At 39.3% G+C, this 17,468-nt stretch overlaps 1 annotated feature.

Annotated features, from left to right (window-relative positions):
- Window positions 11,334-12,178: an enhancer, noted in NCBI's record as "OCT4-NANOG-H3K27ac hESC enhancer chr5:83999549-84000393 (GRCh37/hg19 assembly coordinates)". NCBI's record gives its function as "activates a minimal SCP1, AML or CMV promoter by ChIP-STARR-seq in naive and primed H9 embryonic stem cells {active_cell/tissue: H9 hESC(naive and primed)}" and the evidence as "EXISTENCE:reporter gene assay evidence [ECO:0000049][PMID:30033119]".

Here is a 17,468-nt window from a genome sequence, read left to right on the forward strand (position 1 = left end):
GGGCTCTGAGATATAATGTAAGAATTGACATTTGATTTGACAGAATTGATTAGATTTTGGTAATGAGGAAAATGAAGGTAGGAGTTGCAAATCCTCCCAAAATTTCTAGTTCCTCCTGTGTTCTTGGCAGACTCTGTGATCTCATTTCTTCCTAACCTCCCCAGATACTTTACTCTGGTCCACTGTTTCTCAAACATACTACCATTTCAGTGTTTCTGTATTTCTTGTTTCCTGGAATTCTCATTTCTAAGTCATCCATGTGGCTTACTCTTCAATATCGCTCAGGTCTCTGCTTATATGCTACTTCATCTGAGACCTTCAAGACCATTTCATATAAAGTAGCACATCTATGCCTCTATCCATGCTCTGTGTTAATTTTCTTCATATCACTAAACTTTTTTTTTCTTTTTGTCCTTTTTTAAACTATAGAATTCAAGCTCTATGAGTTCTGGGGACTTGGCACAGCCTGGGAAAATGTTAATGCTCAATAATTTGGTCAACGGATGAAAGATTCTAAGACAAACATATAAAAGTAAAGATTGATATAGCCTTTAAGACTCAAGAAAATAATCTCAAATGTTGGCCTTTCAGGCACCTTTATAGGCTGTAAGAGGATAATTTTGGGTGTTGAGCCCTTTTCTACTTTTGACAGAAATAACACATATAGATAGTCATCTATAAAAACGTCTCACTCAAATATGTTACATATTCTATTTGAGAAAGAAATAACCTGTAAATATCAATGATATTTAAAAAATCTAGCTAACTCATAAGAGAAAGTTTCAATTTTCATGCTTATTTCTAATGTAAACACTGTAATATAAAATGGCCCATCTGAATTGCCAAAAGAATTAAAATTTCAGTTCCATGCTGTATCTCCCTTAACTTAGGTTCATTGTTTTTTTCAAGTAACGCTCTTAAATTAAAATTACTCCTGGGAATTTTCTGTAAAATACAAACAGATTTGATACCTCTTTTTAAGGAACCCTGACAATTTATTCGGTTTTGTCAGTATATTTACTTTGTGTGAAACCACAGACTTCAACGGTGCAGATACCAAACTGAGTTTTGAATAAAAGATACAATGCAGTGATTTATTCTGAGGGGTAATGAGCCAGCATTCTGCAATTTCACATTAGATTGTTGGCTGCAACAATAAACCTCTTTCAAGAAATGAAATAAATAGGACTGATGGAAAATTTTTAGAAATTAAATCACCCACAACAAATAGGGACAATACACGAGAAATCTTTGCTATGTATTTGGATATATATCATTCATAAATGCAGCCGCTTTCTAAGAAGCCAGCAGAATCTGAATGCTTTTGAAAGCCTAGATACTCTACATGGATATGTTTTCAAATAAAGCGTATATGAATTTAACATAATTTTATACAGTACATTTGAACATACATAGAAAATCTACCTTTTAGAAACACTTTAAGTATGAAAATGATGTTTTATAAATTTGTTCCTCAAAGTCAATTTCAGTTTTTATAACATGAGACTTTCTTTCTTAAAAGACAAAAACTGTAAGATTGTAAATTTGAGTAATGTTGAAAAAAGGAAAAGAGTACGTGGGGCAAATCCTCAGCCATAAAAAAAAAATCAGTTTTAGGAACAAATTCTCATCATTACCAAATATTTGCTTTTTATTTATTGATTGATTTTTAATGTGATATTTATTTTTTTATTTTTAATTTTTTTTACTATACTTTAAGTTCTAGGGTACATGTGCACAACGTGCAGGTTTTTACATATGTATACATGTGCTATGTTTGTGTGCTGCACCCATTAACTCGTCATTTACATTAGGTATTTCTCCTAATGCTATCCCTCCCGCTTCCCCCACTCCACAACAGGCTCCAGTGTTTGATGTTCCCCACCCTGCGTCCAAGTGTTCTCATTGTTCAATTCTCACCTATAAGTGAGAAAATGTGATGTTTGGTTTTCTGTCCTTGTGATAGTTTGCTTAGAATGATGGTTTCCAGCTTCATTCATCTCCCTACAAAGGACATGAACTCATTCATTTTATGGCTGCATAGTATTCCATGGTGTATATGTGCCACATTTTCTTAATCCATTCTATCACTGATGGACATTTGGGTTGGTTCCAAGTCTTTGCTATTGTGAATAGTGCCACAACCAACATACATATCATGTGTCTTTATAGTAGCATGATTTATAATCCTTTGGGTATATACCCAGTAATTGGATCGCTGGGTCAAATGGTATATCTAGTTCTAGATCCTTGAGGAATTGCCACACTGTCTTCCACAATGGTTGAACTAGTTTAGAGTCTCACCAACAGTATAAAAGCGTTCCTATTTCTCCACATCCTGTCCAGCACCTGTTGTTTCCTGACTTTTTAATGATGGCCATTCTAACTGGTGTGAGATGGTATCTCATTGTGGTTTTGATTTGCGTTTCTCTGATGGCCAGTGATGATGAGCATTTTTTCATGTGTTTTTTGGCTGCATAAATGTCTTTTTTTGAGAGGTGTCTGTTCATATCCTTTGCCCACTTTTTGGTGGGGTTGATTTTTTCTTATAAATTTGTTTGAGTTCTTTGTAGATTCTGGATATTAGCCCTTTGTCAGATGGGTAGATTGCAAAAATTTTCTCCCATTCTGTAGGATGCCTGTTCACTCTGATGGCAGTTTCTTTTGCTGTGCAGAAGCTCTTTAGTTTAATTAGACCCCATTTGTCTATTTTGGATTTTGTTGCCATTGCTTTTTGTATTTTAGTCATGAAGTCCTTGCCCATGCCTATGTCCTGAATGGTATTGCCTAGGTTTTCTTCTAGGATTTTTATGGTTTTAGTTCTAACATTTAAGTCTTTAATCTATCTTGAATTAATTTTTGTATAAGGTGTAAGGAAGGGATCCAGTTTCAGCTTTCTACATAAGGCTAGCCAGTTTTCCCAGCACCATTTATTAAATAGGGAATCCTATTTTTAACTAGGAATACCTAGTTTTAACTTCATATCACTGAAAGAAGCACTGAAGAGATAGGAAAAACAGTCTTGAATCACCAACATCACCCCTCCCCTAATCCTCCAACAGTGGCGGCATTATGCAGAGAGCATTTCAGTGTCCTGGAATGAAGGAAAGCCAGCAGTTGTGAGGCATTGAACTCAGCACTGCCTTTGTTATAGGAAAAAGCAAAACTATACCAAACTCAGCTAAAGCCCACCCACAGGGGGAACATTTGAAACAGCCCTAGCCAGAGGGAAGTTGCTGATCCCAGGGGTTGGACCTTGAGTTTCCACGAGTCTTGTTACCACGGGCTAAAGTACTCTGGAGGCCCTAATAAACTTGAAAATCAGTCTAGGCCACAAAGACTGCAACATCTGAGTGAGTCCTAGGGCTGAACTGGGCCCAGAGACAGTGGACTGGGGGTTCACATGACCTACTGAGATACCAGCCAGGGTGGCTAAAGAAATGCTGGTGTCACCCCTCCCTTAACCTCAGTCTGAACAGCTCACAGCTCCAAAAGAGACACTTTCTTTTTGTCTAAGGAAAGGAGATGCAAGGGTGGGGAGGATTTTGTCTTGCATCTTGGTTACTAGCTCATCCATAGCAGGATAAGGCACCAGTCAGAGACATAAGGCTCACTTTCCAGGCCCTAGCTCCCAGGCATTTCTAGACACCCTGGGCCATGGGAAGGGAACCTGGTGCCTATAGGGGAAGCACCTGGGCTTGGCAGAATTTGTCATCTGCTAGTTTAAGAGAACTTGGACCCTAAATAACCAGCAGTGATATGCAGGAAGTACATTGAGAGCCTTGGGTGAGACACTGAGACTAGTTGGCTTCAGGTGAGACTCAGCACATTTCCAGCTGTGGTGACTACGGGCAAGACTCCTTCTGCTTGAGAAAAGTGGAGGGAAAAGTAAATGAGACTTTGACTTGCACCTTAGCTAACAGTTTGGCTAGAGAAGGTAGAGCACCAAGCAGGTTCCTCAGTTCCCTGACTCCAGGACTTGGGTCTTGGACAGGAGTTCTGGAACTGCCCAGGGCCAGAGTGGAGCCCACTCCCCTGAAGGGTGAGTCCCAGGCCAGGCAGCATTCACCACAAGCTGTTGGAAGAGCCACTGGGCCTTCAAGGTACATCAGCAGTAATCTGGCAGGTACTCTCTGTGGGTCTCAATTAGTGGTGTCCAAGGAGTAAGGTTCCTCTGCCCTTGAAAAGGGGAGGGAAGAGTGGGAAAAACTGCCACCTGTGGTTTGAGTTCCAGCTCAGCTGCAGTACAGCAGAACCCCAAGTACATTTCTAAGTTTTTGACTCTAGTCTTGGCTCCCAGACAGCACCTCTGAGCCTGCCTGGGGCTTGGGGAAACTCACCATCCTGAAGGGAAGAATATAAGTCTGGCCGATTTTGCCAACTGATGATTTTAGAGCCCCAGGGCTTTGAGCAAACATACTCAGTAGCCAGGGAGTGGTTACAGTGGGCCTTGGGTGAGACTCATTGCTGTGATGACTTTAAGTCTGACTCAGTGCAATCCTAGGGGCAGTGGCCACAGGGGTCCTTGGGTCATTCCACGCCCAGATGCAGGTGGCTCAGAACAGAGAGAGAAACTCCATTGTTTAGGAAAAAATAAGGGGAGAAAACAAAGGTCTCTGATTGCTAATCCAGAGAATTCTTCTGGATCTTGGCCAAGACTGTCAAGGTGCTACCTCTATGAGTCTGCAAGGACCACAGTGTTAATGAGTTTGGGGTGCCCCTTAAAGCAGATACAGCTTAGATTACAACACCTAAGTCCTTTTGAATACTTGGAAAGCCTTCCCAAGAAGGATGGGTACAAACAAGCCAAGACTCCAAAGACTACAATAAATACCTAACTCTTCAATGTCCAGACACAGATGAACATATAAAAGTATTAAGATGATCCAAGAAACATGAGCTCACCAAATAGACTAAATAAGTCACCAGAGACCAACCCTGGTGAAACAGATCTATGTGATCTTTTAGACAGTGAATTCAAAATAGCTCTTTTAAGGATACTCAACAAAATTCAAGATAACACAGATAAGGAATTTAGAATTCCTTCAGATAAAATTAACAGGAATCAAGCAGAAATTCTGGAGATGAAAAATGCAATTGATGTATTGAAGAATGCATTAGAGTCTTTTAATAGCAGAATTAATCAAGCAGAAGAAAGAATTAGTAACCTTGAACACAGGCTATTTGAAAATACTTGATCAGAAGAAACAAAATATTTGCCTCGGAAGGGCAAATATAAGAGTTATTGGCCTTAAGAGGATATAGAGAAAGCAATAGGGGTAGAAAGTAAGGGTTAATAACAGAGAACTTCCCAAACCTAGAGAAAGATATCAATATCCAATATTTTTCAAAATATTATCAACATCCAAGTACAAGTTATAGAATGCAAAGCAGATTTAACCTAAAGAAGACTGCCTCAGACATTTAATACTCAAACTCACAAAAGTCAAGGATAAAAAAAAAGATTCTAAAAGAAGCAAGAGAAAATAAACAAATAACAACAATAGAGCTCCAATACATCTAGAAGTAGACTTTTTGTGGAAACTTTACAGACTGGGAGAGAGTGACATGACATATTTAAAGTGCTGAAGAGAAAAACAAACAAACAAAAAACTCTTTTACCTTAGAATAGTATATCTGGTGAAAATATTCTTCAGCCATGAAGATGAAATAAAGTCTTTCCCAGACAAACAAAAGCTGAGAGATTTCATCGACACCAGACCTGTCCTACCAGATATGCTAAAGGGAATACTTCAGTCAGAAAGTAAAGGATGTTAGTGAGCAATAAGTAATAAGACACAAAACTCACTAGTTATAGTAAATATGCAGAAAAACAGAATATTATAACAGTGTATCATTGGTGTGTAAATTACTCTTATCCTAAGTAAATGACTAAGTGATGAACCAATAAAAATAGTAATTACAACAACTTTTTAAGACATAGTACAATAAGATATAAATAGTAACAGCAAAACATTAAAAAGCAGGGAAACAAAGTTAAGGCATAGTCTTTATTAATTTTCTTTTTGCTTATTTGTTTATGTAAACAATATTAACTTGTTTTCAGTTTTAAATAATGGATTTTAAGATAGTATTTGCAAACCTCATGGTAATTTCAAACCAATAACCATATAACAGATACACCAAAAATAAAAAGGAAGAAAACAAATCATATCACCAGAGAAAAGCACCTTCACCAAAAGGAAGGCAAGAAGGAAAAGAAGACTGCAAAACATTGAGAAAACAAATTAAAAAATGGCGGAAGTAAGTACTACTTGTGCCGTGACTCGGATCGGGGGACCTCCCTTGGGAGATCAATCCCCTGTACTCCTGTTCTTTGCTCCATGAGAAAGATCCACCTATGACCTCAGGTCCTCAGACCGACCAGCCCAAGGGACATCTCACCAATTTTAAATCAGGTAAGTGGCCTCTTCTTACTCTCTTCTCCAGCCTCTCTCACTGTCCCTCAACCACTTTCTCCTTTCTAGTCTTCAATCTCTCCCTTCTCTTAATTTCAATTCCTTTCATTTTCTGGGAGAGACAAAGGAGACACGTTTCATCCGTGGACCCAAAACTCCGGCGCCAGTCACGGACTGGGAAGGCAGCCTTCCCTTGGTGTTTAATCATTGCAGGGACACCTCTCTGATTATTCACCCACGTTTCAAAGGTGTCAGACCATGCAGGGATGCCTGCCTTGGTCCTTCACCCTTAGTGGCAAGTCCCGCTTTTCTGGGGAAGGGGCAAGTACCCCAACCCCTTCTCTCCTTGTCTCTACCCCTTCTCTGCTTTTCTGGGAAAGGGGCAAGTACCCCAAACCCTTCTCTCCTTGTCTCTATCCCTTCTCTGCTTTTCTGGGGAAGGGGCAAGTACCCCAACCCCTTCTCTTCTTGTCTCTACCCCTTCTCTCCTTGTCTCTACCACTTCTCTGCTTTTCTGGGGAACGGGCAAGTACCCCTCAACCCCTTCTCCTTCACCCTTAGCGGCAAGTCCCGCTTTTCTGGGGGAGGGGCAAATACCCTTCAACCCCTTCTCCTTCACCCTTAGTGGCAAGTCCCGCTTTTCTGAGGGAGGGGCAAGTACCCCTCAACCCCTTCTCTTTCACCCTTAGTGGCAAGTCCCGCTTTCCTAGTGGGCAAGAACCCCCCAATCGCTTATTTCCACACCCCAACCTCTTATCTCTGTGCCCCAATCCCTTATTTCAGCACCCTGACCTCTTATCTCTGTGCCCCAATCCCTTATTTCTGTGCCCCAACCCCTTCTCTGCTTTTCTGGAGGGCAAGAACCCCTCACCCCTTCTCCGTGTCTCTACTCTTTTCTCTGGGCTTGCCTCCTTCACTATGGGTAAGCTTCCACCTTCCATTCCTCCTACTTCTCCCTTAGCCTGTGTTCTCAAAAACTTAAAACCTCTTCTCACACCTGACCTAAAACCTAAATGCCTTATTTTCTTCTGCAATGCCGCTTGACCCCAATACAAACTCGACAGTAGTGCCAAATAGCCAGAAAATGGCACTTTGAATTTTTCCATCCTGCAAAATCTAAATAATTCTTTTCATAAAATAGGCAAATGGTCTGCGGTGCCTGACATCCAGGCATTCTTTTACACATTAGTCCCTTCCTAGTCTCTGTGTCCAGTGCAACTCATCCCAAATCTTCCTTCTTTCCCTCCCACCTGTCCCCTCAATACCAACCCCAAGCGTCACTGAGTCTTTCTAATCTTCCTTTTCTACAGACCCATCTGACCTCTCCCTTCCTCCCCAGGCTGCTCCTTGCCAGGCCGAGCTAGGTCCCAATTCTTCCTCAGCCTCCGCTCCTCCACCCTATAATCTTTTTATTACCTCCCCTCCTCACACCTGGTCCGGCTTACAGTTTCATTCTGTGACTAGCCCTCCCCCACCTGCCAAGCAATTTACTCTTAAAAAGGTGGCTGGAGCCAAAGGCATAGTCAAGTTTAATGCTCCTTTTTCTTTATCCCAAATCAGATAGCGTTTAGGCTTTTTCATCAAATATAAAAATCCAGCTCAGTTCATGGCTCGTTTGGCAGCAACCCTGAGACGCTTTACAGCCCTAGACCCTAAAAGGTCAAAAGGCCGTCTTATTCTCAACATACATTTTATTACCCAATCTGCTCCCGACATTAAATAAAACTCCAAAAATTGGAATCTGGCCCTCAAACCCCACAACAGGACTTAATTAACCTCACCTTCAAGGTGTACAATAATAGAAAAAAGTTGCAATTTCTTGCCTCCACTGTGAGACAAACCCCAGCCACATTTCCAGCACACAAGAACTTCCAAACGCCTAAACCACAGCAGCCAGCTGTTCCTCCAGAACCTCCTCCCACAAGAGCTTGCTACACATGCCGGAAATCTGGCCACTGGGCCAAGGAATGCCTGCAGCCCGGGATTCCTCCTAAGCCACGTCCCATCTGTGTGGGACCCCACTGAAAATCGGACTGTTCAACTCACCTGGCAGCCACTCCCAGAGCCCCTGGAACTCTGGCCCAAGGCTCTCTGACTCCTTCCCAGATCTTTTCGGCTTAGCGGCTGAAGACTGACACTGCCCGATCGCCTCGGAAGCCCCCTAGACCATCACGGACGCCGAGCTTCAGGTAACTCTCACAGTGGAAGGTAAGCCCGTCCCCTTCTTAATCAATATGGAGGCTACCCACTCCACATTACCTTCTTTACAAGGGCCTGTTTCCCTTGCCTCCATAACTGTTGTGGGTATTGACGGCCAGGCTTCTAAACCTCTTAAAACTCCCCAACTCTGGTGCCAACTTAGACAATACTCTTTTAAGCACTCCTTTTTAGTTATCCCCACTTGCCCAGTTCCCTTATTAGGCTGAGACACTTTAACTAAATTATCCGCTTCCCTGACCATTCCTGGACTACAGCTATATCTCATTGCCGCCCTTCTTCCCAATCCAAAGCCTCCTTTGCGTCCTCCTCTTGTATCCCCCCACCTTAACCCACAAGTATAAGATACCTCTACTCCCTCCTTGGCGACCGATCATGCACCCCTTACCATCTCATTAAAACCTAATCACCCTTACCCCACTCAAAGCCAGTATCCCATCCCGCAGCATGCTTTAAAAAGATTAAAGCCTGTTATCACTCGCCTGCTACAGCATGGCCTTTTAAAGCCTGTAAACTCTCCTTACCATTCCCCCATTTTACCTGTCCTAAAATCAGACAAGCCTTACAAGTTAGTTCAGGATCTTCGCCTTATCAACCAAATTGTTTTGCTTATCCACCCCGTGGTGCCAAACCCATATACTCTCCTATCCTCAATACCTGCCTCTACAACCCATTATTCTGTTCTGGATCTCAAACATGCTTTCTTTACTATTCCTTTGCACCCTTAATCCCAGCCTCTCTTCGCTTTCACTTGGACTGACCCTGACACTCATCAAGCTCAGCAAATTACCTAGGCTGTACTGTTGCAAAGCTTCACAGACAGCCCCCATTACTTCAATCAAGCCCAAATTTCTTCCTCATCTGTTACCTATCTCAGCATAATTCTCATAAAAACACACATGCTCTCCCTGCCAATCGTGTCTGACTGATCTCTCAAACCCCAGCACCTTCTACAAAACAACAACTCCTTTCCTTCCTAGGCATGGTTAGCGTGGTCAGAATTCTTACACAAGAGCCAGGACCACACCCTGTAGCTTTTCTGTCCAAACAACTTGACCTTACTGTTTTAGCCTAGCCCTCATGTCTGCGTGCAGCGGCTGCCGCTGCATTAAGACTTTTAGAGGCCCTCAAAATCACAAACTATGCTCAACTCACTCTCTACAGTTCTCATAACTTCCAAAATCTATTTTCTTCCTCATATCTGACGCATATACTTTCTGCTTCCTGGCTCCTTCAGCTATACTCACTCTTTGTTGAGTCTCCCACAATTACCGTTGTTCCTGGCCCAGACTTCAATCTGGCCTCCCACATTATTCCTGATACCACACCTGACCCCCATGACTGTATCTCTCTGATCCACCTGACATTCACCCCATTTCCCCAAATTTCCTTCTTTCCTGTTCCTCACCCTGATCATGCTTGATTTATTGATGGTGTTTCCACCAGGCCTAATCGCCACACACCAGCAAAGGCAGGTTATACTATAGTACAAGCCACTAGCCCGCCTCTTAGAACCTCTCATTTCCTTTCCATCGTGGAAATCTATCCTCAAGGAAATAACTTCTCAGCGTTCCATCTGCTATTCTACTACTCCTCAGGGATTATTCAGGCCCCCTCCCTTCCCTACACATCAAGCTCGAGGATTTGCCCCACCCAGAACTGGCAAATTAGCTTTACTCAACATGCCCTGAGTCAGATAACTAAAATACCTCTTAGTCTAGATAGATACTTTCACTGGATAGGTAGAGGCCTTTCCTACAGGGTCTGAGAAGGCCACCACAGTCATTTCTTCCATTCTGTCAGACATAATTCCTCAGTTTAGTCTTCCCACCTCAATACAGTCTGATAACAGATGAGCCTTTATTAGTCAAATCAGCCAAGCAGTTTTTCAGGCTCTTAGTATTCAGTGAAACCTTTATATCCCTTACGGTCCTCCATCTTCAAGAAAAGTAGAATGGACTAAAGGTCTTTTAAAAACACACCTCACCAAGCTCAGCCACCAAAAAGGACTGGACAATACTTTTACCACTTTCCCTTCTCAGAATTCAGGCCTGTCCTCGGAATGCTACAGGGTACAGCCCATTTAAGCTCCTGTATAGACGCTCCTTTTTATTAGGCCCCAGTCTCATTCCAGACACCAGACCAACTTAGACTGTGCCCCAGAAAACTTGTCATCCCTTCTATCTTCTGTCTAGTCATACTCCTATTCACCGTTCTCAACTACTCATACATGCCCTGCTCTTGTTTACACTGTTTTTCCAAGCCATCACAGCTGATATCTCCTGGTGCTATCCCCAAACTGCCACTCTTAACTCTTGAAGTAAATAAATAATCTTTGCTGTCAGGACTATGCTGAATCTCCTTAGGCACTCTCTAATCAGATATCCTGAGTCGTCCCAATTCTTAGACCTTTTATACCTGTTTTTCTCCTTCTGTTATTCCATTTAGTTTTTCAATTCATACAAAACCGTATCCAGGCCATCACCAATCATTCTATACGACGAATGTTTCTTCTAACACCCCCAAAATATCACCCCTTACCACAAGATCTCCCTTCAGCTTAATCTCTCCCACTCTAGGTTCCCACGCCGCCCCTAATCCCGCTTGAAACAGCCCTGAGAAACATCGTCCATTCTCTCTCCATACCACCCCCCAAAAATTTTTGCCGCCCCAACACTTCAACACTATTTTATTTTTCTTATTAATATAAGAAGGCAGGAATGTCAGGCCTGTGAGCCCAAGCCAAGCCATCGCATCCCCTGTGACTTGCACCTATACGCCCAGATGGCCTGAAGTAACTGAAGAATCACAAAAGAAGTGAATATGCCCTGTCCCACCTTAACTGATGACATTCCACCACAAAAGAAGTGTAAATGGCTGGTCCTTGCCTTAAGTGATGACATTACCTTGTGAAAGTCCTTTTCCTGGCTCACCCTGGCTCAAAAAGCACCCCCACTGAGCACCTTGCGACCCCCACTCCTGCCCGCCAGAGAACAAACCCCCTTTGACTGTAATTTTCCTTTACCTACCCAAACCCTATAAAACGGCCCCACCCTTATCTCCCTTCGCTAACTCTCTTTTCAGACTCAGCCCGTCTGCACCCAGGTGAAATAAACAGCCATGTTGCTCACACAAGCCTGTTTGGTGGTCTCTTCACACGGATGTGCATGAAACTACTTATCAATAATAAGAATGAATGTAAATGAACTGAACTCGCTTATAAAAAGGCAGAGAGTGGCTGAAGGGGCTGAATGGTATTAAAAAAAAACAGACTCAATGATCTGCTGCCTATAACAAACACACTTCACCTATAAAGACATACATAGGCTGAAAAAAAGGTATGAAAAAGGTATTTCATGCCAATGAAAACCAAAAAAGAGCAGGAGTAGCTATACTTAATTCAGACAAAATATATTTCAAGACCAAAACTATAAGAAGGGACAAATAAATGTTCTATATAATAATAATAAGATGTCAATTCAGGAAAAGTATATAACAATTTTAAATATATATGCACCCAACACTGGAGAACCCAGATATATAAAGAAAATAGAGGTAAAGAGAGAGACAGGCCCCATTACAGTAATATCTGGAGAATTCAGCACCCCACTTTCAGCATTGGACAGATCTTCCAGACAGAAAACTAGGAAAGAAACATCAAATTTAATTCACACTATGCACCAAATTAAACTTTTACAGAACATCTCATTGAATGGCTGAAGAATACATATTTTTTTCCCTCAACACATGGATCATTCTGAAGGATAGACCATCTGTTAGGTTGCAAAACAAGTCTTTAAACATTCAAAAAATTTGAAATAATATTAAGCATCTTCTCTGACCACAATAAAATAAAACAAGAAATCAATGACAAGAGGAATTTTGGAAACTATACACATACATGGAAATTAAACAATAAGCTACTGAACGACCAGTGGGTCAATGAAGAAATTAAAAAGAAAATTGAAAGATTGTTTGAAACAAATGATAATGGAAACACAATATACCAAAGCCTATGGGATATAGAAAAAACGGCACTAGGAGGGAAGTTTATAGCTATAAGTGCCTACATTGGAAAAGAAGAGAAACTTCAGATAAACAATCTAGCAATACATCTTAAAGAAATAGAAAAGGAAGACCAAACCAAACCTGAACTTAATAAAGGAAAAAATTAATAAAGATCAAAGTAGAAATAAATGAATATAAAATGAAGAAATCAATACAAAAGATCAATAAAGCAAAAAATTGGCTTTTGAAAAAGTTAACAAAGATGACAAACTTTTAGCCCAACCAAGAAAAAAAGAAGATCCAAGTAAATAAAATTAGAGATGAAAAAGGAGACATTACAACTGATACTGCAGAGAATCGAAGCATCATTAGTGGCTACTATGAGCAACTATATGCTAGTAAATTGGAAAATCCAGAAAATATGGAAAAATTCTTAGACTCATACAGCCTACCAAGACTGAACCTGGAAGAAATCCAAAACCAGATCAGACCAATAGCAAGTAATGAGATTGAAGTCAGGAAAGAAATCCCAGGACCCAATGCCTTCACTGCTGAATTGTAGCAAACATTTAAAGAAGTAATAGCAATCCTACTGAAACTGTTTCGAAAAATAGAGGAGGAGGGAATGCTTCTCAACTCATTGCACAAGGTCAGTATTACCCTGATACCAAACCAGACAAAGACACATCAAGAAAAGGAAACCACAGGCTAATATCTCTGATGAATATTGATGCAAAAATCCTCAACAAAATACTAGCAAGCCAAATTCAAAAATACCTTAGAAAGATCATTCATCCTGACTCCGTGGGATTTATTCCAGGGATGCAAAGATGGTTCAACATACATAAATAAATCAATGAGATGCATCATATCAACAGAATGAACAAAAACCATATGATTATTTCAGTTGATGCTGAGAGGGCATTTGATAAAATCCAACATCCTTTCATGATAAAAACCCTAAAAAAACTGGGCGTAGAAGGCACATACCTCAACATAATAGAAGCCGTATATAACAGACCCATAGCTAGTATCATACTGAATGGGGACAAAATGAAAACCTTACCTCTAAGATTGGGAATACAACAAGAATGCCCAGTCACCACTGTTATTCAACATGGTACTGGAAGTCCTAGCTAGAGCAATCAGGCCTAAGAAAGATATAAAGGGCATCCAAATTAGTAAGGAAGAAGTCAAATTATTCTTGTTTGCAGATGACATAATCTTATATCTGGAAAAACCTAAGGACTGCACAATGAAACTATTAGAACTGATGAACAAATTCAGTAAAGTTGCAGGATGCAAAATTGACACACAAAAATCAGTAACATTTTTATATGACAACAGTGAACAATATGAAAAAGAAATTAAAAATAATCCCATTTACAATAGGCACACATGAAATTAAATAGCTAGTAATTAACCAAAGAAGTGTAAGCTGTCTATAGTGAAAACTACAAAACACTGATGAAAGAAACTGAAGAGAACACACACACACACACACAAAGAAAAAGTATTTTATGTTCATGAATTGGAAGAGTCAATATTGTTAAAATGTCCATACTACCCAAAGCAGTCTGTAGATTTAATTCAAGATACTATTCAATTTAATTTAGGCTTATATTATCAACCTGATAAAATATCGTTTCAAGGTTAAAAATACTATTGCTAAGTGGTTTTCAAAAATAAAGCATTTCAATCAATGCTTCATATTAATTAGTAACAGACTGATAGTATCAACTGCTTTCATTTAAAAAAACTTTCTGTTGAAGGTGCCTTTGACTTTACAAAATGATACATGAACTCTTATTTGTGGTTTGCAATCTGAAAACCGAAACCTGTAGCATTCAATCAGTATTTATGTGGGAGCATTTTGTCCAGATACTTTAGTAGTACCAAGAAAAGAGAAAAATGAGATTGACAAACTATGATTAGCACATGGTCCACCTAACCTTATAATAATGTCATCTCATTTCAGAATGGATTTTCTTATTTTAAAAAGGGGGAGGTACAAGATACGTAGATGGACATATAGGGAGAAATAGGGAGGACCTCCAGAGCTTTCACCATCACTGGAGAGAAATCTTTTAGAATTCTTATCTTAAAATGCAGATCATGTCATGAATGGGGAGGGGATGAAGAGGGCCAGCACAGAAGTGGTGGCCACAGTTGATGAAGCTGGGTCAAGTTTCAGCAGTCCCTAGGGACACATGGTGGTGTGAAGGGATCACAATGGCTTGGCCTTTGATATCACTGAGGAATAGAAAGTTTTTACAACTTCAGCGTGCAAGATTGTTTTTCTAATGATTAAGTGGAACTCATACAATAATTAATGAGAGAGACAGATTCACTTTGATGTGGCAGAGGAATGTATCTTAATCACTGCTGTTTTTGTAGTCATCTCAAAGTGAATTTCCCACAGAAGGCTTTTAATTACTTCTACCATCAAGGGCCTAAAAACTCCCTACCAAAATTGTAGCAATAACATGGTGCATAATTTGAGTAACCCCCTCTCATCTGTAAAACTTGCAACTTTAAAATGTGTGACCATCTTCAAACGTTGTTTTGAGGATGAATTAAATGAGACTATAAAGGGTACTCTAATGTACTGTATAAATGAAAGAAAGAAGTAAGATAAATCTGCCTGTGTTACCAGTTCTTATATAAGTAAAGATAATAACCATATTTGGCTAAAATACTATTGCCGAATATCTTATTTGCATTAATCTAATAGTAAAAGAGCCAATAAAATATAAAGGAACCTGCATTTTAGTACTGGAATTTTTTTTTATTTGGATTGAAAAATGTGTGGAAAATGTTGTCTACTTTTTTACACCATTTCCTGATAGATTACATCAATGCTTCCTAGTGATGTACCCTACTGTGAAAACAAAACAAAACATAAGCAAAAAAAACTTTCACTAAGATTCATAGCATAAACTAACATTAAATTCAAAATTATTCATGTTGTCCCTTGGCATAGTGGCATACAAATACATAATGAGACTGATTCTATGGATAAATAATGGAATATGCAAAATGGCTCTAGTTAGAAAAGTTCGTGGTAACTTTTATGGCTAATTCACTTTACGAGTTTCATCAGGGCATCCCTGCTAATTACACGGAATGTGTGCACCTATGTCGTGAGAATTAATTTGCTTAAGTTGTCTTTAATGAATAAAAACATTGCAAATTTTGTTAAGGCCTGTTTCTACTACTTTTATTTAACATGTATCCTACAGAAATGTGTTTATCAGTTTCTCAAAATCTACTTTTGGCTTTGTTAATACTCTATCTTAATTATATTTTTTATCTTATATATTTCTATTTTATTTTAAAAATATTTTATTTGCTATTGTTTTAGAATAGGTATGCATGAACATCGTATAAAATTCAAAATGTGCATGTTGGTATTCAGTAAAATGTATGCTGTCTTTTCAGCCTGTCCGGAGCTCTGTTACCCTTTCTAGAGTAAACCACTGTTACTAGTCTCTTGATTGTCTTTACAGCTTTATTTAATACATAGATAAGTATATACATATTATTCTCTATATAAATGACATCATATTTATACACACTATTTTGTACCTTGATTGTTTCTCTTACCATTTTAGCTGTAACAGAGTTTGGCAAACTGCAGCTCACAGATCAAATCTAGCCCACCTTTTGTTTTACGAGAATAAAGCCACACTCATTTATTGCTCTCTTGTTTATGGCTGCTTTCATGCTATAACACCAAAACCGAATAGTTGTAATAGAGACCTTATGACCTCCAAAGGCTAAAATATTTACTATCTGGTATTATGCAGAAAAAAAAAGTTTGCTGATCCTTGATCTAGAAGGTCTTTTAATACCTGTATATGTAGAGGTATCTAACACTTTTTAACAACTTTATAATAGTGCACTGAGAAAAGGGGACATAAACAGTTTTATGTTTTCTATTTTTTAACTTTTATTTTAATCTCAGGGGTACATGTGCATGTTTGCTATGTAGCTAAACTTGTGTTATGATGGTTTGTTGTACAGATTATTGCATCACCCAGGTATTAAGCCTAGTAGTCATTAGTTATTTTTCCTGATCCTCTTCCTCATCCTACCCTGCACCCTCAGAAAGGCCCCAGTGTGTGTTGTTCTCTATGTGTCCATGTGTTGTCATCATTTTTCTCCCACTTATAAGTGTTTTTTTGTTTCTGCATTAGTTTCCAAAGGATAATGGCCTCCAGCTCCATCTATGTCCCTGTAAAATACATTATTTCATTCTTTTTGATGGCTGCATAGTATTCCATGGTGTATATGTACCGTATTTTGAAGCTAACTTTATAGCCACAATATGATATGACACATTATATTTTTGGACTATATTTGTAGACTATTCTCTAGAAACATTAATAAAAATAGGGTTTTCCTCCCTACCTCTACTTCTTAAGTTCCTTCCCTGCTACGATTCTATTTAATTGATTATACTTTTTCACTTTAATTATCAGTTTAAGATAATATTTGACCTCAAAGTATAAATTATGCATATATAACCATGCTAAACTAATTTTTACCTTCTCAATCTTTCTCTACACTTTCAACTTACAACATTGAGATTCTTACTGTCTGGATTTACAATACTCACATTTGTTTTTAGAATCACAATGCCCCATTTGATGTAGTCCTAGTCTTTCGGCAAATGAGAGGTGGTGCTTACTTATTAGTATGTTTGCTATAGTTTTTCTTCCTCTGGAGATCTTTTCAAGAAATACAAATAATAATTATATTATTTCAAATCTTGAATATTTAATTAAAAAGCCAAATGCCTTTCATATCAATTATAATGAT

The sequence above is a fragment of the Homo sapiens genome, chromosome 5 (assembly GCF_000001405.40).
Source record: "Homo sapiens chromosome 5, GRCh38.p14 Primary Assembly".
Taxonomy (NCBI): domain Eukaryota; kingdom Metazoa; phylum Chordata; class Mammalia; order Primates; family Hominidae; genus Homo; species Homo sapiens.